Source organism: Homo sapiens, chromosome 14 (assembly GCF_000001405.40).
Source record: "Homo sapiens chromosome 14, GRCh38.p14 Primary Assembly".
Lineage (NCBI taxonomy): Eukaryota > Metazoa > Chordata > Mammalia > Primates > Hominidae > Homo > Homo sapiens.
Genome location: NC_000014.9, coordinates 103,837,417 through 103,859,434, shown reverse-complemented (window position 1 = coordinate 103,859,434; position 22,018 = coordinate 103,837,417). Strand labels below are relative to the sequence as shown.

Below are 22,018 nucleotides of genomic sequence, written 5' to 3'. Positions count from 1 at the left end.
TTCCTTCCTTAGTGGTTACTTACTGAGTGTCAGGCACTGTTTTAAGTGCTTGGGACACATATACAGATCCCTGCTCTCCTGGAACTTATATTTTACTAGGAGCAAGACAATAAACAATAAATATAATAAGACCAGGCATGGTGGCTCATGCCTGTAATCCCAGCACTTTGGGAGGCCGAGACAGGTGGATCACCTGAGGTCGGGAGTTCGAGACCATCCTGACCAACATGGAGAAACCCCGTCTCTACTAAAAATACAAAATTAGCCAGGCGTGGTGGCACATGCCTATAATCCCAGCTACTGGAGAGGCTGAGGCAGGAGAATCGCTTGAACCCCGGAGGCGGAGGTTGCGGTGAGCCAAGATCGCGCCATTGCACTCCAGCTGGGGCGACAAGAGTGAAACTCCGTCTCAAAAAAAAAAAAAAAAAAAAAAAAAAAAAAAATATATATATATATATATATATATATATATATATATATATATATATATATATATAATATGTGAATAAAATGTTATATTAGAAGGCAATATATGTTAGGGGAAAGAGAAAAAGTAGAACAGAGCATCCTGGGTTGGCTGTCCAGAGGGTGAGCCCAGAAACTGGGATTCCAGGGCCAGCTGTGGGTCTGGAAAGTGATCCTAGGAAGCGAGATGAGGAGGGAAGGAGAGAGGACAGGGTGCATAGCTGAACAGGGTACCCTGCGCCTGCCTGGGCTCAGTGGCCTCTGGGCAGCTGTGTGGAACGTGCATCCAAGCAGAGCCGGCCCGTCAGGGGAGGGGGCCGGGGACCCTCCAGCCCCAGTCTTTGTGAGGACTGCTCCTATGCAGCAGCCATCGTGGTGGAGTGGCCTCCCACAGCCTCAGGGGCTGCCAGACGGGTCGGGTGGGGACAGCCTGGGGCAGTGGCTCTCCAAGTGTGGTCCCTGGACCAGCAGCATCAGCAGCACAGGGGAACTTGTTAGAAATGCGAATACTTGGGCCCATCCCAGACCTACTGGAGCAGACGCCCTGGGGATGGACCCAGCCCTCCAGGCGATTCTCAGGTGCTGAAGATGGAGAAGCAGCGGCTTTAGGGATGTGGCTAGGCACTGCTAAGGGATGTGGCTAGGCACTGCTAAGGGATGTGGCTAGGCACTGCTAAGTTCTGCACAGGGTTTGGGGAATCGGGAGTGAGTGGGGTAGTGTAGGGGTGGTGTCTTAGTTGCAGCTGCTGTAACAAAGTATCATTAACTGGGTGCTTGTCAACAACAAAAATGTATTTCTCACAGTTCTGCAGACTGGAAAGTCCAAAGTCAGGGCAGCAGCAGGTGCAGGGTCTAAGGAGGGCCTGCTTTCTGCTTCAGCTTCATAGACAGTACCTTTTTTTTTTTTTTTTTTTTTTTTTGAGATGGAGTCTTGCTCTGTCGCTAGGCTGGGGTGCAGCAGCACGACCTTGGCTCACTGCAACCTTCGCTTCCGGGTTCAAGTGATTCTCCTGCCTCAGCCTCCTGAGTAGCTGGGATTACAGGTGCCCACCACGTCCGGCTAATTTTTGTGTTTTTAGTAGAGACGGGGTTTTGTCATGTTGGTCAGGCTGGTCTTGAACTCTTGACCTCAGGTGATCCGCCCGCCTCAGCCTTCCAAAGTGCTGGGATTACAGGCGTGAGCCACCGCACCCGGTCGACAGCACCTTTTGACAGTGTCCACACATGCCAGAAGGGGTGAGGGGTCTCTCTAAGACCCCTTTTATAAGGGCATTAATCCCATTCATGAGGCTCTGCTTGTTATGGACTGAATGTGCTCTCCCCAAATTCATGTGTTGAAATCCTAACCCTTAAGGTGGTGGTATTTGGAAATACATTTGCACTATCGGAGGAGGCCTTGAAGGACAGACCACGTGTCAGCAGATCCACCTAGAATGGAAGAGAGGGGCCTTGGAGAGCCACAGCCCGGACCACAGGGGCTGTGGAGAACACAGCAGTCTGGCTTGCTGGGAGCAGAGTTGGGGCACTGCCGGCGAGGCCACCAGGTGTGGCTGTTACATGACAGCCATAGATGGTGCTATGGAAGGGCCTTCAGTGGGGTAGTGACATACGTATTTTGGGGTTCTGTTAAAATGCAGTTGTTCTTACAAACCAGGAAGGCTCTGGCTCAGGAATTCTCTTGATGTCTCATACTACAGAAACCCCCTACAAAGAAGAAAGGTGTTTGTGCAGAAGTTTCCTGCACACCTGTGCTGGGTGTCCGGCTCTCGTCCTCCCAGATTGATGCTCCATCCTTCACCCTGCTTTTGCCTTTTGGGGCCACCTCCATGGGCTGCAGCCAGATGTGGAGGTGCCCTGTGGGAGGTCAAAGGCAGGAGAGGGAGCGATGCGGGAATGGATCCCCTCCCTCTTTGGGCCTGCCTCTGACCAATGCCACTGCCCTCCAGGCCAGCCTCCTCTGGACTTTCTTCTTTGCTGGAGAGCTCCCCTTTCTCTTCCTTCCAGCCCTGATGGTGGAAAGAGTCCCCCTAATGCTGGTCCCAGAGTCCTGCCCTCCCCTAGTGGTCCCCCCTTCCTTCTGTAAGCATCCCCCTTTGTAAATCGCCTTCCTGGAATTTCCCTAATTTGAGGAAGCCATCTGTTTCCCTATGGGACCCTGACTGATGTGACAGCGTTGTGAGTAATGGCGGGAACTGGAAGCAGCCAAGAGGCAGAGAGCTGGGGAAAAGCAGTGGGTTAGGTAGAAGAATGTCAGGGAAAACCCGAAATAAAGGCAGGAGTGAGCGGGCGCTTAGGGTGGGATGCTTGGTGAAGAAGAAAAGACGGAAGACTAAAGTGTGTGGCCTGACACAACATCCAGAGGGAAAGCTCGCTGTGTGCAGGGACCAAGACTCCTACCCTCCTTCGGGCCTAGCACGGAGGACGCAAGAAAGGTCAGGAATGAATGAATGGATGAAGTGTCCTGGCCCAGCAGCCTTTTCTTCCTCACAGGGGCCCCAGACAGATTCCAGAAGGAAGGGAGAAAGAGAGGTTTAGACCCTGAAAGACCAGTACAGTGTGTGTAGGACACCAGGCAAACCCTGCCAAGGCAGAGGGCGGGACTTGTGGAGCTGGGAGTTTTTGGAGGCAGCGGCCACCAGGTGGAGGCCATAGACTTGGCTCCGGGTTCCAGTCACAGGCTCCGTAGCTCTGTGGCCCTGGGCAAGTGGCAAAGCCTCTCTGGGCTTCAGAGAACGCCTGCCCCGCTCTGAGTCCTCGCAGGAAGATGAGGCTGCAGTCAGCTGAACACTTGCTGAGTTCTGGGCATGGCGACCCCTACCCCTGGACAGTGATCCTGTGACAGAGGCCTGTTGCAGGAATGAAAACAGGTGGGTTGGCTCCGGAGACCCCCTCTCTGAGTTCCAAGACTCCTGTGTGGGAACTCCTGGCAGGGACACTCTTTTCTGTGGCCTGGGGTGGATGTCGCTGGGTTTCCAGCTGTATTTTATTTGGTGGAGGCAGCGGTGGAGTCTGCCCTCCATGCACATTTATTAGGTGTCTACTGTGTGCTGGGCACTGGGGATCTGGTGGGGGACACAAGTGCAGCCTCACAGGCCACAGGGGCCACCCACGGCCAAACAAAAGACCAAAAACAAGCAGATCGCTGGGTGTTTTCCCACCAACTTATTTTCTAACCTGGATAACAAAAAATATTACTTAATGCCCCAGAGGAGCAAATGGAACCACGACTGGTTCACAGCCAACACTTGTGAAAACAGGTTTCCCCGGGCAGCTGTGGGGGTGGAACAGGAGCTGCACGTCCCATTGTCCCAGAGTCCCCACCCCCACACTGGGGAGGGGCTGCCAGCGGGGCCTAGGGTGGGGTGGGAGTCGGCCTGGAGCGGGGGATGGTGAGGGCATGAGGCTGGAGAGCCGCAAACCCAAGCCCTCAGGGGTTTAACTACCCTTGACCGTCAGGGCAGAAGGGAGGCCCCGAGGGGTCCCAGTGGGGAGTGGTTGGGTCGGATTTTCCAGCGGGAGGGAGGCTAACTTGGAGTAGAGGTGAGGGCAGCTCAGGTTGGGGTGGGGCCAGAGAAAAAAGGAGGTGTGTGTGTTGTGGGGGAAGGACTGAGGGGGTGAGGGGCACGGTAACACCTGGCATTTGGCTGCAGTGCCAGATGGATCCCAGAGTGGGCCACAGGCCCAGGCTGGACAGGAAGGGGAGTCATGAAATGTGGCCTTCTTGGGGACAGCGTGGCCAAGCAGATGTCAGCACAGAGCCCACAGCGCCCTCTCTTAGGCCTGGATAAGGCACTGTGGGTGCCAGGTTGCAGGCCCTGCACAGCAGCCCCAAAGCCTGGAGCCATCCTGAGTCCTTCCTTTCCTCCTCCCAACTCCCACCCTTCAAATCTTACCCCAGATAGAAGCCCTTCCCCACATCCACTTCCTCTACCTTCCTCATCCTAAGGGCCCGTCCTCCTCCACTGCTGCGGAAGGCCAGCCAACTTCCACCGGAAGCTTAAGACTGTAAATCAGCTGTCAGAAAGAGTTTCCCCTGGAAACACCAGAGGGAAGGCCCTCTGCCCTCAGGGCCAACAAAATCCAGACCCGCCACAGCCCGCAAACTGAAGCCTGACCCTACCTCCCTCCATAGCCTCCAGCACTTTCCTTACCTGCTCCTCCCCCTCCCTGCTCCTGCAGCCTGCAACTCCCTGGCAGAGGCAGCTGTCTCTGTCACATTATCTGGCTTTATTATTATTGTTGTTATTACTATTTTGAGGCAGGGTCTCCCTCTTTTGCCCAGGCTGGAGTGTAGTGGTGCGATCTCAGCTCACTGCAGCCTCAGACTCCTGGGCTCAAGCGATCCTTCCACCTCAGCCTCCCAAAGTAACTGGGACTACAGGAGCACTCCACCACGTCTGACTACTTTTTGTATTTTTGCTGTAGAGACAGGCTCTCCTTATGTTTCCCAGGCTGGTCTTTAACTCCTGTCCTCAAGTGATCCTCCCACTCCAGCCTCCCAAAGTGCTGGGATTACAGATGTGAGCCACCGCGCCCGGCCTGGACTTATTGTTAAAAATACACTTACCAGCATTTGTGTTCTTGTCTATCGTCTTCTTGCCTGGCCGGAATACAAACTCTGTGAGGACAGGGACCTCACTGTTTTGCTCAAGGCTGTGTCACCAGGGCCTGGACCTGGGTGGGTACATGGAAGAAACCAGGCGACACCTGTTCATGGAGCCTGCTGGCCCCTGGGGCAACAGGTACATAGACAGCTCCAAGGTGGCAGATTGTGATGCGTGACCCAGGTCTGGGCAGTCTGGAGGAATGTGGTGAGATGCGTCATCCCTGGGCGATCTGGGGAAATGCTGCAGAAGAAGGCTTTGATTTTCAACAGAACAGGAAGCACTCCTTTCTGAGGGATACACAGAGTGCTTTCTCGTACACAGGGAGGTGGGTGGACAAGGGCCTGGAGGTAGGGTCTTCAGACAGGTAATTAGGTAAAATGAAGTCCTATGGCTGGGCCCTAATGCAATGTGACTATGACCTATGAAAAGAGAGACACCAGGCAGGTGCACACACAGCAAAAGATCATGTTAGGAGCCCACAAGAGGGTGGTCATCTGCCAGCCAAGGCAAGAGGTCTTGGAAGAGTCCAGCCCTGCAGCACCTGGAGCTTGGACTTCCAGAAAACTACCACGAAACTGTGAGAAAATAAATTTCTGTTTTTTTAAGCCACCCAGTCTGTGGTATTTTGTTATGGTAGGCCTAGCAAACCAATACGGGTCTTAGGCATGTTTTTTTTTGTTGCTGTTGTTTTATTTTGTTTTTGAGACAGGGTCTCACTCTGTTACCCAGGTGGGAGTACACTGGTGTTATCTCGGTTCACTGCAGCCTTGACCCCCGGGCTCAAGCAGATCCTTCCACCTCAGCCTCCTGAGAAGATGGGACCGAAGCCGCCTGCCACTATGCCCAGCTAATTTTTAAAATTTTTGTAGAGGCCAGGCGGCGGTGGCTCATGCCTGTAATCCCAGCACTTTGGGAGGCTGAGGTGGGTGGATCACCTGAGGTCAGGAGTTCAAGACCAGCCTGGCCAACATGGTGAAACCCCGTCTCTACTAAAAATACAAAAATTAGCTGGGCGTGGTGGCTCATGCCTATAATCCCAGCTACTCAGGAGGCTGAGGCAGAAGAGTCGCTTGAGCCCAAGAGGTGGAGGTTGCAGTGAGCCAAGATCGTGCCACAGCACTCCAGCCTGGGTGACAAGAGTGAAACTCCGTCTGAAAAAACAAAAAAACTAAAAACAAAAAACACAAAATTTTTTTGTAGAGATGGGGTCTCACCATGTTGCCCAGGCTGGTCTCAAACTTTTGGGCTCAAGCAATCCTCCCACCTCAGCCTCCCAAGTAGCTGGAACCACAGGCACATGCCACCACACCTGGCTGATTTTTGTATTTTTGGTAGAAATGGGATTTTGCCGTGTTGCCCAGGCTGGTCTCCAACTCCTGAGCTCAAGCAAGGCACCCATCCCAGCCTCTGAAAGTGCTAGGATTATAGGCATGAGGCACCATGCCCAGTCAAGTTTTAAAACATGTTATTGTAATTTAGTAATATAGTCACCTGATTCAAAAATCAAACATGAAATGCAACAGCAGCCTAGAGATGAAGGTCAGCGTCAATGGCACTGTCATGCTGATCATATGTATCCTTGATACAATCGGATGAGAATGGTCCCGTACCTCTGTGGTCTTCCTCCCCCAAACTCATAACATCAGTGTAATCATTAGAAAAACATCACATACATTTCAACTGAGGGACAGTCTACAAAATACCTGACAAGCACTCAAAACTGTCAAAGCCATAAAAAACAAGGAAAGCTGGCGAGGAGCGGTGGCTCACACCTGTAATCCCAGCACACTGGGAGGCTGAGGCAGGCGGATGACCTGAGGTCGGAAGTTCGAGACCAACCTGACCAACATGGAGAAACCCCGTCTCTACTAAAAATGCAAAAGTTAGCCAGGCGTGGCGGCGGGTGCCTGTAGTCCCAGCTACTCGGGAGGCTGAGGCAGGAGAATCACTTGAACCCGGGAGGCAGAGGTTGCGGTGAGCCGAGATCGCGCCATTGCACTCCAGTCTGGGCAGTGAGAACAAAATTCTGTCTCAAAAAAAAAAAAACAAAAAAACAAAACAACAACAACAAAAAAAAAAAACAAGGAAAGCCGAGACTGTCACAGCCAAGAGGAGTCTAAGGAGACAAGGAGACATGACGACTGAACGCCACGTGATGTCCTGAAACAAAGGCACTGGCTAAAAACTAAGGAAATCTGGGAAAAGTATGGACCCGAGTTGATACTAACGTATAGATAATGGTTCATTTGTTGTAACAGATGTACTGTACTGATGTAAGATGTTAAAAAATGGGGAAAACTGGATGGAGAAAGGGGTATCTGGGAACTCTCTGTATTTCAAACTCTTTGCAATTTTTCTATAAAACTGTTCTAAAAATAAAGTTTATTTTTCAAAAACTAATAGTGAAAAGCCTCACTCTGATTTCTGCCCCTTATCAACCCAGTTCCCATTCCCACGTGCAGTCATCACTTTATTAGTGTTCCCTGGATTCTTCCAGAATGTATTTATGCCAATATGAATATATACTAATGTCCTCCCTAAAGGGACTTTTTATCTGTTTTAAGAGTATTTAATCATTTTTAATTTTTTTAAATTAAAATAGAGATGGGGGGGGGTCTTGCTATGTTGCCCAGGTTGGTCTCGAACTCCTGGGCTCAAGCAATCCTCCTGTCTTGGCCTCCCAAAATGCTGGGATTACAGGCATGAGCCACCATGCTCAGCCTTTTATTTTTTTATTTTGAGACAGAGTCTTGCTGTCACCAAGGCTGGGGTGCAGTGGGGCAAACTCAACTACTGCAACCTCCGCCTCCAGGGTTCAAGAGATTCTCCTGCCTCAGCGTCCCGATAAGCTGGAATTAGAGGCGCCCACCATCATGCTCAGATAACTTTTTTTTTTTTTTGATACAGAGTCTTACTCCGTTGCCCAGACTGGAGTGCAGTGGCGCGATCTCAGCTCACTGCAACCTCTGCCTCCCGGGTTCAAGCAATTCTCCTGCCTCAGCCTCCCGAGTAGCTGGGATTATAGGCGTGTGCCACCACGCCTGGCTAACTTTGTATTTTACTAGAGACTGGTTGGTCAGGCTGGTCTCGAACTCCTGACCTCAAGCAATCTGCCTGCCTCAGCCTCCCAAAGTGCTGGGATTACAGGCGTGAGCCACTGCACCTGGCCTAATTTTTGTATTTTCGGTACAGACAGGGTTTCAGCATGTTGGCTAGGCTGATCTCAAACTCCTTACCTCAGGTGATCCGCCCGCCTTGGCCTCCCAAGTGCTGGGATCACAGGCTTAAGCCACCATGCCCAGCCATGCCCAGCCTTTAATCTACAGCCTTTAATCTTTATTTTTTTTTTTCCTGAGGCAGGGTCTATGTTGCCCAGGCTAGAGTGCAGTGGCGTGATCTTGGCTCACTGCAGCTTCCATCTCCCGGGCTCAAGTGAACCTGTTGCCTCAGCCTCCTGAGGAGCCGGGACTACAAGTGAGCACCACCATGCCTTGCTTTTATTTATTTATTTATTTATTTATTTATTTTGAGATGGAGTCTTGCTCTGTCTCCCAGGCTGGAGTGCAGTGCCGCAATCTCGGCTCACTGCAACCTCTGCCTCCTGGGTTAAGTGATTCTCCAGCCTCAGCCTCCCGAGTAGCTGGGATTACAGGCGTATGCCACCACGCCTAGTTAATTTTGTATTTTAGTAGAGACGGGGTTTCACCGTGTTGGCAAGGTTGGTCTTGAACTCTTGACCTCAAGTGATCCACCCACCTTGGCCTCCCAAAGTGCTGGGATTTCAAGCAGAGCCACCGTGCCCAGCCCCTTTAATCATTTTTTTTTTTTTGAGACGGAGTCTCACTCTGTTGCCGGGCTGGAGTGCAGTGGCACAATCTCGGCTCACTGCAATCTCTGCCTGCCGGGTTCAAGTGATTCTCCTGCCTCAGCCTCCCAAGTAGTTGGGACTACAGGCACTCGCCACCACGGCCGGTTAATTTTTGTATTTTTAGTAGAGACAGGGTTTCACCATGTTGGCCAGGATGGTCTTGATCTCTTGACCTCGTGATCCACCCGCCTCGGCCTCCCAAAGTGCTGGGAGTACAGGTGTGAGCCACCGCGCCCGGCCCCTTTAATCATTTTTAACATAAAATATTTCAAACATAGAGTATAAAGTACAATGCACCCCAACATACCCACCATCCAGGTTCAAATGTTATCAAGAATTTGCCACGTATGTTTCAGTTATTCCTAATTGCTTGGCTCTCTTTCCCTCTGGCTGAATTGTTTTTAAACAAATTGCAGACCCCTTACATATGCTAGGATGCATCTCTAAAAAATATGGACATCTTCTTCCGTAACCTTAATGCCTATATCCCATCATTACTGGTGATTCCTTTTTTTTTTTTTTTTTTTTTAGAGATGGGGGGATCTCATTGTGTTGACCAGGCCGGTCTCGAACTCCTGGCCTGGCCTCAAGCAATCCTCCCATCTTGGCCCCCCAAAGTGGTAGAATTACAGGCGTGAGCCACTGCACATTAACAACATTCACGGCGATTCCTGATGGGCTGCTCGTGAACTTTGGTCTGTGTAATGGAGAGACACAGAAGGGCTTTACAGGGTTGGGCCGTGTGTGCTCCAGGAAGATGGAGGGCAGGGGCGTGTTGGGAATGGTGGGGGCGTGGAGGCTAGAGCAGTGGGCTTATAATGAATGAGCTTGGTCCAGGTGGGAGGTGATGGGCCGATGCCTGGAGGTGGCAGGCTGGGTGGAGAGGAGGATGGGGACCAGCGGGAAGGACTTGAGGGGGAGCTGACCAGCCTGCCTCAAATGGACCCTTACCTGGAGGATATAGGATGCTTTGGTGTGAGGCACGGTAGCTGCCACTGTCTGTGCCCACAGGTCCTGCAGGCAAGAGGGGAGCCCTTGTGCCAATGCTTCCCTTCCTGGAAGAGCAGGCTCATTTGGATCACCTTACCCCGGGGGGCACCTCTCTGAAGAGCCTTGGCAAAACCTGTCCTTTGTCAGGCTTCGTGGGCCAGAAGTACCCCTTCGTGACTCAGGGACATCAGCTGTCAAAGCTGGGGAAACCAAGGCCCAGAGAAGGAGTGCAAGTTGCCTAAGGCCCCACAGGAGGTCAGAAGCAGAGCAGCTAGAATTAGAACTTAAGTATGTCTCTGACTTTCAGCCTAGGATCACTCATTATCTAGAGCCTCCTCTTCTCTCCAAACTCTGCTCCCAGAAGAGGGGTGTCATTAGCCATTCATGCCCAGGTGTGGATAGGTTTAAAAATCCCAGGGACGTCTGTACACTAAGCCTCCTTGCTAATCACGGCCCAACTACAGAATGCTATTTATGGAACAGCTACCACGTGCCACAAATTGTGCTGGGCGCTTTCCATCCCTCGCATCCGAAAAAGCCTCTTGACACGAGGCAGGCACTATTATCCCTACACTCTCCCATCACAGAGACAAGCACACTACGATGCAGAGAAGATGCGGCTTGTTTAGGATCCCAGGCGAGGGTGTGGCGGAGGCGGTGCTGAACCAAGTCTGTCTAACTGGAAAGTCCACACTCGCAAACACGAGCCCCCGTGGCCTCTGAGGGACAGGGGTGGCTCCCCAGGAATGGGCTGGTGGGAGCTCCCTGGCCTCCTCCCTTGCTCTGCCCCCACTCTGCAGCAGCCAGAAGCCTCTCCGAGAACCAGACAGGCTCCAGACTGACCCTGACCTCGCGGCGGCCTTCTCCACTGGGCCGGCGCTTCCCAGGGCGGCTTACGCCTTCTGTGTCTGGGGCCATCCGCAGACCTTGCCTTCTGATGCCCGTGGGAGTTCGGTGCTGCCGCGGGGAGCACCTCAGTCCCCCTGTCTGCTCTCCGCCGCGGTCCGGGCGAATGGCACCATGTGGGGGGCCCCGAGCGGGTGCCTACCCCCCTGGCAGCCTTTACTGAGGGTCTGCTCAGGGCCCTGCCCAGGGCTCTGTCACTCCGGCGCTCAGGCCCGAGGGGGCGGCGCCTCTGGAGACGGGACTGCAGGGAGAGACCCAGGCCCTGGAGACGAGGACCGGACCCTCCCCGGGGACGCTGGAGCTGGACCTCGAGGGATGCTGGCGCAGGTGGGCACAGGTGGCACAGGTGGGCGCGGGGTTCTAGGCGGGAGATCGCTCGGGCGAAGGCCAAGGCTCGGGAGCTGGTGCGGGGGGCGCGGCCCCGAGAGCCGCGGAAGACGCCGGTGGGGGAGAAGCAGGTGCCAGCCAAGGGCGTCGGGCCGGGGCTGGTTCCGAGCGCGCGGCCTCGGGTCACATGCTCGCTCCGGGGGCCCCCCGCGCCCCTCCCACTGGCCTCTGGGCCGCAGCCCCACGGCGCGCCGGCAGCCGGGGGTCAGGCCGCGGTCAGAGTGCGGGCGCGCGCCGTCGCCGCAGGGACGCTCCCGGCCCACAGTCGGCCCCCGGGAGCCCGGGTTCGAGTCCCGGCCCTGCCGTGATCCGCTGCGGGACCCGGGCCGGCCCTTCCCTGTCGGGCCTCAGTCCTCCCACCGTCCGCGGTCTTCCCTAGTCGGGGCTCACGCAAGGGCGGGGGAGGCCACCGGTGCCCACTGCGCGTCCGCCCCTCCCCCGCCGCCGGGAGCGCGGACGCGCACGCACCTGGCCGCCGCTGAGAGCGAGGGTAGCGGGCGGAGCCGGGAAGCCCCGCCCCTCTCCCCGCCCCCGCTCCCACCGGGCCAATCAGAGGGGGCTACGGGACCCGTGCGGGGCGTCGCGCTGGGGGCGGGGCCTGCGGGGGCTGAAGAGCGAGCCGGGCGGGCGGGCCGCAGGCTGTCGGGCTGGGGCTGAGGCTGAGGCTGAGGTTGAGGCGGCGGCGGCGGCGGCCGGGTGCCCGGGACAGCGACGCAGCGCGCCGGCGGCCGCGACAGGGCCAGCGAGAGCCCCGCAGCCCGCCGCAGCTGCCGCCTCGCCGCGGCCGGGCCGGAGAGCACGGCGGCGGGAGCGCGGCCTTAGGAGGCGGCCGGAGCGGTGGGCACAGCTCGGCGCGGAGCGTCCTGTCAGGCGGCGGCCGAGGGCGTCGCGGACTCTCCCCGCGATGATGCCGGTGGGTGAGGGCGGGCGGGAGGTGGCGGCGGCTTCCTCCGCGGGCCGCTGGCCAAACCTCCTTCCTCCCGCGGCTCCCAGCCCCCGCGGGCCGGTGCGAGGCCGGGCGGGCGGGGAAGGAAGTGGCTGGGCGGGCGCGCCCGGCCGCGGCGCCCCCCAGGCGGGCAGGTGGGGGCGGCGCCGGGCTGTCAGCGCGGGGCCGGGGCCGCCTGCGGGCCCTTCCTGCTCGGCCTCCGCGGCCGCGGGGAGAAGCAGATGCATTTGGGGCCGGTCATCTCCTCGGTCCTCTCAGGTGCGCGGTCGGACGCTGGGGCACAGGTCTGGTGGGTGGCGCAGCTGTGACCCGCCTGAAACGAACGTTCTGGGGTCGCCCTGGGAGTCGGCGGGGTGGGCACCCGCGCCCGGAGTTCCCACACTCTGCAGGCGCATTCCCGTAGCCTTCGCGGTTGTACTGAGGAAAGGTGCCGAGTGCACGGATTTGGAGAGCCATCTTAGGAATTCCCTTTTCCCGTATCTGCAATGTTGGTTCGTTTTGCTTTAACTGGTTTGTTCTCCGTGTTCTGAAGGTTGAACGAGGTTCGTTTGTAGTGGTGGTGTCTTTGTCCTGCCCTTAAGGATGCTTTCGCCTAGAAAGACATTGGCCATTAGATTTGCCATCGTCCTACCGACCCTTCCCTTTACCTATAATCTGAATAGGAGGGGATGCTGAATTCTGATTTTTAAAAATTGGCTTTTTGGGAGGTAAGCATCATGACTTATGAAAAAATGTGGGACTGGTTGTACCCAGTTGGAGAGGTATTGGTTTTCTGAGCGCCTATATCGTAAGTAAAATTCTCAAACACGTTTATAGTAAAGTAACACAGTCATTTTTTTAACCTACAATACTACGTTGAAAATCACATTTCACAGGAAAGTGCAGTTTCCCTGCATTCTCTACTTGAATATTGCCATTCTGCTATGCTGCACCCAAGGACATTTAGATTAGATCCCCCTTCTTCCTCTTTGATTTCCTTTCTCTTGATAATCTCTTCTCCCCGTTTTTAACGGATTCCAGCATGTTTTGTAGCCGGCTTTCAGCGTTTTCCAAGTCTTAAGGTTTGATCTACTTGATCCTTAGGTCTTTCTTTAGCATCAGACTTGTTGGGTTTCTAAACATTTGGTTTTAAATGAATAATTGTCTTGTAATGGAAAGAGAATTGGATGAGCATCAGAAGATCTGGGGTGAAACGCTGGTTCTTCCACTTTTTAGCTATGTGACCTTGAAGAAGTCAAGGTCTTTGAGCCTGGAATTACCTCTAAAGTAGGGATAAAAATGTACCAATATCTGAGCGCTGTCCTGAGGATCAAATAGGATGATGTATCCAAAAGTGATGGTTGAACAGAATGTCATACAAATATTTATTATTCTTAATATGGCTTTGAATTTTCAATTTCTAACTTTATAAGATAAGGCATTTGGAAACTTCCCTCCCTAATTCTCACTAGCTAGATTTTGATGAAAGGCATTATGGTGTTTCAGAATTTTGAAAGTAGTTTTAGTTAAATCCTGTAATAGTTGATTGATGCATTCATACTGTGGTGGCATTGAAGGATATCTAGAAAAATTTTGGCTGGCTTCGTCGTTGTATAATGTTTAATTATAAATATCCTGCTAAGAAACTTGGCTTACATTTTCCATATGATTCATTCAGACATCTTACCTCTATTCCACGGGAGTAGAGTTTTGAGTTCCTACCTTCACAGGTTTCCTTTTTAAGAGGTTTGTTTAGCTGGGAATTGGGGCATTTCTTCGGATTTCTCAAAACAATAAAATACTGTTTTTTAAAAAAACAGGTCTATTACCTGTTTAAAACACCGCTTTTGTTTAAAAATGCCTTTTAGAAACAGATGGTATTTCTCTTAGACTCTCATGTATGGCTTTTACTTTTGTATTTCCTTTTTGATCCCTAAAAATACTACTTGTAGGACTGAGTCCTTCCTCTATTAACACAGTTGGAGTTGGTTGTAAATTTAGTAGGAGTTTTCAGAAATGCCATTCTTACTTGGTAATATTTTAAACTATCCAAAAATGTAAATAAGATTTTTCTCGATTTATTGTATATTTGGTATTCATCATGATGATGATGAATCAAAGGAACGTTGGGTCATATTTTGCAGTTTGTGTAGAGCAGTACTGTCCAATAAAAATGTAAAGCAAGCCACAAATGCAATTTTAAATTTTGTGGTAACTACATGAAACAAGTTGAAAAAGTACTAATTTTAGTAGTATCCTTTTATTAACTTAGCATATCCAAAATATTATTTTAACACGTATTCAATATGAAAAAACCACTAATGAGATATTATACATTTTTTCTGGTACTAAGTGTCTGAAATCTGGTGTGAATCCGGTGACAGTTTGCATTTTACAGCACACACCTCAGCTCAGACTAGCACATTTCCAGTGCTCAGTAGCTACATGTGCTTAGTGACTACCATATTGGACAACATAGGCTTAGAGTATATTTTATTTTATTTGAAAATTGGCAATTAGTATATAATGTCGTGGTAACTTTTTTCTTTTTTTCTTTTTTTGTGACAGAGTCTCACTCTGTTGCCCAGGCTGGAGTGCAACATGATCTTGACTCACCGCAACCTCCACCTCCCAGGTTCGAGAGATTCTCCTGCCCCAGCCTCCTGAGTAGCTGGGATTACAGGCACCCTCCATCCTGCCTGGCTAATTTTTGTATTTTTGTAGAAACAGGGTTTCACTATGTTGGGCAGGCTGACCTTGAACTCATGACCTCAGGTGATCTGCCCACCTTGGCCTCCTAAAGTGCTGGGATTACAGGCATGAGCCACTGCGCCCGGCCATGTGGTAACTTTTAATTAATCACATGGTGTACTACAGTGCCCAGTCTCTCAGCTGTTGAGAATAAATGAGAGTGAGTGGCCAAATTCTCATCTGACACAATCAAATCTCTGTAGAAGTCTTCTATTTGCTGTCGTACAAAGTGCTGTGACTTTCCACCTTCTTTTTTTTTTTATTTTTCGAGACAGGGTTTCACTCCTGTTGCCAAGGCTGGAGTGCAATGATACGATCTCAGCTTACGGCGACCTCCGCCTCCTAGGCTCAAGTGATTCTCATGCCACAGCCTCCCGAGTAGCTGGGACCACAGACACACGCCACGGCAAACGGCTAATTTTTGTATTTTTAGTAGAGACGGGGTTTCACCTTGTTGCTCAAGCTGGTCTCGAATTTCTGAGCTTGAGTGATCTGCCCGCCCCAGCCTCCCAAAGTGCTGGGATTACAGGTGTGAGCCACCCCTCTGCCCCTGCACCTGGCCTTTCCACTTTTTTTTTTTTTTTGAGACGGAGTCTTGCTCTGTCGCCACGCTGGAGTGCAGTGGCATGACCTCGGCTCACTGCAACCTCTGCCTCCTGGGTTCAAGTGATTCTTCTGCCTCAGCCTACCAAGTAGCTCAGACTACAGGCGTGCGCCGCCACGCCCAGCTAATTTTTGTATTTTTAGTAGAGATGGGGTTTCACCACGTTGGCCAGGATTGTCTTGATCTCTTGACCTTGTGATCTGCCTGCCTCAGCCTCCCAACGTGCTGGGATAACAGGCGTATGCCACTGCGCTCTGCCGTCCTTTCCACTTCTAAACTAAATTATATTTTGGAATTTTCCCTTATGAAAATAGTATTTTTTTGTTGTTGTTATTGGTAGTCACTCACCTTTTTATCAATGGATGACATTTTAAAAATGTTTTCCCAGGAAAAAATGGTACCATTTAAATAATACTTTTTGTTTAGTCCCTAAGATCTGGCCCTGAAAGCATTTACAAGTTTGATAGAAGTAAGAATTTTAGTAAAAATGGAAAGCCCAATTTAGATTATAGAAAGGATGAAAACTGCCTTGATTCAGCATGATTTATTTTTTTTTTTGAGACAGAGTCTCGCTCTGTCACCCAGGCTAGAGTGCAGTGGCAGGATCTCAGCTCACTGCAACCTCTGCCTCCTGGATTCAAGTGATTCTCGTGCCCCAGCCTCCACAGTAGCTGGGACTACATGTGCACACCACCATGCCTGGCTAATTTTTTCAAATTTTTGGTAGAGACAGGGTTTCACCATGTTGGCCAGGCTGGTCTCGAACTCCTGGCCTCCAGTTATCTGCCCACCTCAACTTCCCAAAGTGCTGGGATTACAGGCGTGAGCCACCGCACCTAGCTCAGCATCGTTTCTTTTTGAAAGAGTGTGGACGTTTTGTAGCTAGTAAAACTTTTCGTGCATAGATGAGATATATGTGGGGAATGTTGCTTAAGATACTTTTTTTGTTTGTTTTCAGACAAGATCTCACTCTGTTGCCCAGGCTGGAGTGCAGTGGCGCGATCTTGGCTCACTGCAACCTCCGCCTCCCGGGTTCAAGCAATTCTCCCACCATAGCCTCCCAAGGAGCTGGGATTACAGGGGCATGCCACCATGCCTGGCTAATTTTAGCATGTTTAGTAGAGGTGGAATTTCCCCATGTTTGGCCAGGCTGGTCTTGAACTCCTGACCTCAGGTGATCCACCTGCCTCAGCCTCCCAAAGTGGTGGGATTACAGGTGTGAGCCACCGAGCCCGGCCAGCATACTTTTTCTTTTCCAAAAGAGTATCGACGAGTCAAGAACTGTTCTGTAGCTCTGAAGTGTTTTCTCTTCATAAAGAAGGTACTCTGGGCTTGGTATGGTGGCTCACGCCTGTAATCCCAGCACTTTGGGAAGCTGAGATGGGCAGATCACCTGAGGTCAGGAGTTCAAGACCAGCCTGCTCAACATGGTAAAACCCCATCTCTACTAAAAATACAAAAATTAGCCAGGTGTGATGGAGGGTGCCTGTAGTCCCAGCTACTCAGGAGACTGAGGCAGAAGAAACGCTTGAACCTGGGAGGCGGAGGTTGCAGTGAGCCGAGACAGTGCCACTGCACTCCAGCCTGGGTGACAATGCAAGACTCCATCTCAAAAAAAAAAAAAAAAAAAGAAGGCACTCTGGTGGTGGTGTTTGGTGATGTTAGCAATGGGGCACCTAACTTCTACTAGATGCTGTGAAGTGTGGCTATGATTCTACTTATTTCTGTCCTAGGAGCCCTTTCAGCATGTTTACTGCAGGGTAGGGATGACATTAATTTGTTTTCAGTATTTAGCTTTCATTAAATATTTACTTATTCTAGGTATTCATTTTCTTCCCAACTATGTAGAAGCATTTTGAGATACTAGAATAGGTTTTTCTCTTTTTTAAATAAACAAATAACACGTAATTGACAACAAAACCCTGAACTGGAAATAGGGTTCTTGCTCCTACTTGTTAGTGAGGACCTTTGGACTTAGTCTCTTCGGGCCTCAGTTTCTCATCTGTAAAATGAGGTGGATGTGGTAATTTTCAGGCATTTATGGTTGGTCCAGTAGCTGATTTATAGCAGATACTTGCATGAAGTTCTCTAATATTCATATTCGCTTCATCAAAGGTTGAGGCAACTTGACACTTGTTTTGGCAGGCTTCTAGTAAACTCTTTCATTTCCGAAGCATCTTTTATGACAGAGCAGATAGTAAGAGCTCAGTAAATGTTTGCTACTATTTTTTAATTAAGAATTAGGTGACTTGATAAGCTTGATTTTACAGCCTAATTCAGTAAACAAACACCAAAGACAGGACAATATTTAAAAAAATTTTTTTTTCTTTTTTTTTCTTTTTGAGTTGGAGTGTTGACCTGTTGCCCAGGCTGGAGTGCAGTGGTGTGATCTCGGCTCACTGCCATCTCTGCCTACAGGGCTCAAGCGATTCTCCCACCTCAGCGTCCTGAGTAGCTGGGATTACAGGCGCCCGCCACCATGCCTGGCTAATTTTTTTGTATTTTTAGTAGAGATGGAGTTTCACCGCGTTGGCCAGGCTGGTCACAAACTCCTGACTTCAAGTGATCTGCCCGCCTCGGCCTCTCAGAGTGCTGGGATTACAGGCTTGAGCCACCGCGCCCAGCCTAAAAAAAATTTTTTTTTTTGAGACAGAGTTTCGCTCTTGTTGTACAGGCTGGACTGCAGTGGCACCCTCTCAGCCCACTGCAACCTCCATCTCTTGGGTTAAAGTGATTCTCCTGCCTCAGCCTCCCGAGTAGCTGGGATTACAGGCATGTACCACCATGCCTGGCTAATTTTGTATTTTTAGTAGAGACAGGGTTTCTCCATGTTGGTCAGGCGGGTCTTGAACTCCCGACCTCAGGTGACATGCCGCCTCAGCTTCCCAAAGCGTTGGGATTACAGGCGTGAGCCACTGCTGCTGGCAAAAAAAATTTTTAATTAATATGTTTATATATGTTTCTGAGGTATATGTGATATTTTGTTACATGCATAGAATGTGTAATGATCAAGTCAGGGTATTTGGGATATCCATTGCTTCTAGCACTTACCATTTCCATGTGTTGGGAACATTTCAGTGGCTCTCCTGTTTCAAAATACACAATAATGTTCTTTTCTTTTCTTTCTTTCTTTTTTTTTTTGAGAGGAAGTCTCCTTCTGTTGCCCAGGCTGGGGTGCAGGGGTGCCATCTCGGCTTACTGCAACCTCCACCTCCCAGGTTCAAGCAATTTTCCTGCCTCATCCTCCAAAGCAGCTGGGTTTACAGGCATGTGCTTCCACACCCAGCTAATATTTTTGTATTTTTAGGAGAGACAGGGTTTCACCATGTTGGCCAAGCTGGTCTCAAACTCCTGACCTCAAATGATCTGCCCACCTCGGCCTCCCAAAGTGCTGGAATTACAGGCGTGAGCCACTGCGCCCTGCCAAAAAGAGGTAGTTTTTTCCACCTGGAGTTTAGGGACAACTCAGTTTTAAATGTAAATGTGTTAAATGTATTTTCTTCATTCCTTTCTCAGCATCCTACTCTGAACGGTTTTAGGATTAACAGTTTCTTAGGATTTTTAGCAAAATAAGAACTTAAAATATCACTGGGTTATTGTATTGAAGTTATATAACTGGTTGTCAACATGCGTTTGTATGTGTTTGCACAGATGGAGAATACTTTCTCAGCAAAAGTGTGGTGGGATTTTGGTGCCTTGAAATGCTGTTGTCATAGTTATTTCACAAACTGTGGTTCTAGGGCTAAACAGAGGAATGGTGGTAATCAGATTCTATTGTGACACTTTCTTGGCTTGATTGCTTTGCTTTATTTCACTGCAGAGATAGCTATATGACTGTTGTTCAGACTAATTGGTAAGCAAAAGCTGCTGTTACTGGATTTTGTAAAATAAGAATCTTTGGTGATATCATATAGAACAATATAAAACTGGAAAATTTAGGTAGTTTTTATTAAAATTTATGACATTTGAAATATTAGTGTACAGTTCAGTACAAGATCTTGTTAGTGGCATTATTGATGTGTTTAGAGAAAATGTTAACTGAGGTTTTAGCAGAATCATGATTTATGCCACATGTTGTGATTGTAATTATCATAGCTCAAGAAAATGCAAACGCCATGTGGTAGGAGCATGCCCAGCATGCTGGAGAAACAAAAGTAGGCCTGTGTGGCTGGAGCAGAGTGAGTAAGGGGGAAAGTGGAGGAGGTGAAGTCAGGTGATGGAGAGAGTAGTGTAGGATTGATCTTGTAGGGCCTTAGAGGCTATTGTAATGACAAAGGAGATAGAAAGATTTTTTTTTTTTTTTTGAGGCAGAGTTTTGCTCTTGTTGCCCAGGTTGGAGTGCAGTGGCATGATCTTGGGTCACCACAACCTCCACCTCCCAGGTTCAAGGGGTTCTTCTGACTCAGCCTCTCGAGTAGCTGGGATTACAGGCATGCACCACCACGCCCGGCTAATTTTGTATTTTTAGTGGAGATGGGGTTTCTCCATGTTGGTCAGGCTGGTCTCAAACTCCCAACGTCAGGTGATCTGCCTGCCTCAACCCCCCAAAGTGCTGGGGTTAACAGGCGTGAGCCACTGTGCCCGGCGAGAGATTTCTTTTATCAGAAATGAAACACAGTGGGCTGGGTGCTGTGGCTCACGCCTGTAATCCCAGCACTTTGGGAGGCTGAGGTGGGCAGATCACAAGGTTAGGAGATCAAGACCATCCTGGCTAACACGGTGAAATCCCGTCTCTACTAAAAATACAAAAAATTAGCTGGGTGTGGTGGCACGTGCCTGTAATCACAGCTACTTGGGAGGCTGAGGCAGGAGAATCGCTTGAACCTGGGAGGCAGAGATTGCGGTGAGCAGAGGTTGCGGTGAGCCGAGATTGCACCACTGCTCTCCAGCCTGGGTGACAAAGCAAGACTCTGTCTCAAAGAAAAAAAGAAAAAGAAATGAAACACAGTGGTCTGTGTTTATTGCATCGTAAGTAGTTCTGAGTAATAGTCATTGCCTAGGTGACTTTACTGTAGCAGGTAAGAGTGCAGACCCTCACTTTATTCTGCTTAAATATGGATGCTGGCATTGCCATTTGTGGGCTCTCTGACCTTAAAGTTACTTGACCCCTCACTTACCTCTGAGTTGAGCATAATAGTAACTTTACATTGTTGGTAGGAGGATCAGATGCATTAGTACGGTGAAAGTTGCCTGGCATGTAGTAAATGCTCAGTAAATATGTTATTTGTAAGCTCTGTTATTTCCTCTGGAAAGTTTTCACCGTCTCTGCCTTAGCCAACTCCACCATCAGAGGTGCTCACCCTGCCGTGTCTTTTTCTGGGGAGGGGGATATGGTATAATTCATGTGCTATAAAATTCACCTTTTAATGTGTACAGTTCATTGGTTTTCAGTATATGCACGAGACAACTATTGCCACTGTCTAATTTCAGATTATTTTATTTGGAGGTTCTTTGCAGTAATTGTCTTAGTTGTAATCTTAAACATTTGTTTGTGTGACTGGTTGATTTCTGTTTCTTGTCCTAGACTGTGAGCTTCATGAGAGCAGGAGCTCTCTCTTTTTGTTTCCCATTATACCACTGCCGTTTAGCCCAGTGATTGACACATAGTTGGTGCTAAATAAATATTTGTTGAATGAAGAAAGATATGATGTGGAAGGTCCTGTTGGACCCCATTGTGAAGAGCTGTGTGTGTCTGTGTGTGTGTGTGTGTGTGTGTGTGTGCCATAACAGAGTTAGACTTGATCCTGTAGAGATGATCAGAAACCACCAAATGTTTTTATTGTTGTTATTTACTTTATTTATTTGTTTATTTTGAGATGGAGTCTCACTCTGTCGCCCAGGCTGGAGTGCAGTGGTGTGATCTCGGCTCACTGCAACCTTCGCCTCCTAGGTTCAAGCGATTCTTCTGCCTCAGCCTCCCGAGGAGCTGGGACTACAGGTGTGCGCCACCATGCCTGGCTAATTTTTGTATTTTTATTAGAGATGGGGTTTCACCATGTTGTCCAGGCTGGTCTTGAACTCCTGACCTCAGGTGATCTGTCTGCCTTGGCCTCCCAAAGTGCTGGGATTACAGTTGTGAGCTGCCATGCCCAGCCAGAAACCACCAAATGTTTTTAAAAAGTGGAGTGATAGAGTCAGGTTTGTATGATAGAAAGATAATTCTAGAGCCAGAATTATTGGAAGAGAGATAGTTGGTGCAGTAAGGGAGATTAAAAATAAACAGGAAGAGTAGTTAGGAAACAAATTGTTGTAGGCCTGACTTGAGGACCTGAAGAAGAGAAAGATCCAGTTGAAAAGCAGTAAATAGATCGGATGGAGAGTGTGTGTATGTGTGCGTGTGAATGTGTGCATGTGAGGGAGTGAGTGCTTGCGTGCATGCACATGTAAGTGTGTGTGAGAGAGAGAGAGGAAGGAAGGAGGGAGGGAGGGAGATAGCTGGAATTGAGGATAACAGATTTATTGCTTCAGCAGCCAGGCTTGCCTTTCCTTTAAGATAGAAAATACTGCTTGAGAAA

General features: G+C 50.0%; 1 protein-coding gene and 1 long non-coding RNA gene across 12 annotated transcripts in view, besides 4 other annotated features; one reads left to right on the top strand and one right to left on the bottom strand.

Moving 5' to 3' along the window:
* Nucleotides 1-1,385: 1,385 nt before the first annotated feature.
* Nucleotides 1,386-11,714, bottom strand: PPP1R13B-DT (PPP1R13B divergent transcript). The gene is made up of 3 exons (NR_038436.1): nucleotides 11,692-11,714; nucleotides 5,033-5,139; nucleotides 1,386-3,311 (listed from the first exon to the last, which is right to left on the bottom strand). It is a non-coding gene; the product is annotated as a PPP1R13B divergent transcript (long non-coding RNA).
* Nucleotides 10,621-22,018, top strand: part of PPP1R13B (protein phosphatase 1 regulatory subunit 13B) — a 115,620-nt gene continuing 104,222 nt past the window's right edge. For 7 of the 11 annotated variants that reach the window (XR_007063997.1, XR_001750206.3, XR_001750205.3 and 4 more), the window contains exon 1: nucleotides 10,621-11,163. Coding sequence is in view for 5 of the 11 variants with exons in the window: in XM_005267487.6 (XP_005267544.1) it covers nucleotides 10,951-11,163 (213 nt within the window). In the remaining 6 variants the exon portion in view is untranslated. Of the gene's footprint in view, nucleotides 11,164-11,859; nucleotides 12,137-12,299; nucleotides 12,428-22,018 lie in introns of those variants that run through there. The other 4 variants (NM_015316.3, XM_017021116.2, XM_047431171.1 and 1 more) reach the window with 2 other exon arrangements.
* Nucleotides 11,301-11,370: a silencer, noted in NCBI's record as "silent region_6179". NCBI's record gives its function as "represses an Ori minimal core promoter by ATAC-STARR-seq in GM12878 lymphoblastoid cells {active_cell/tissue: GM12878}" and the evidence as "EXISTENCE:reporter gene assay evidence [ECO:0000049][PMID:35858748]".
* Nucleotides 11,391-11,520: a silencer, noted in NCBI's record as "silent region_6178". NCBI's record gives its function as "represses an Ori minimal core promoter by ATAC-STARR-seq in GM12878 lymphoblastoid cells {active_cell/tissue: GM12878}" and the evidence as "EXISTENCE:reporter gene assay evidence [ECO:0000049][PMID:35858748]".
* Nucleotides 11,541-11,980: a silencer, noted in NCBI's record as "silent region_6177". NCBI's record gives its function as "represses an Ori minimal core promoter by ATAC-STARR-seq in GM12878 lymphoblastoid cells {active_cell/tissue: GM12878}" and the evidence as "EXISTENCE:reporter gene assay evidence [ECO:0000049][PMID:35858748]".
* Nucleotides 12,151-12,350: a silencer, noted in NCBI's record as "silent region_6176". NCBI's record gives its function as "represses an Ori minimal core promoter by ATAC-STARR-seq in GM12878 lymphoblastoid cells {active_cell/tissue: GM12878}" and the evidence as "EXISTENCE:reporter gene assay evidence [ECO:0000049][PMID:35858748]".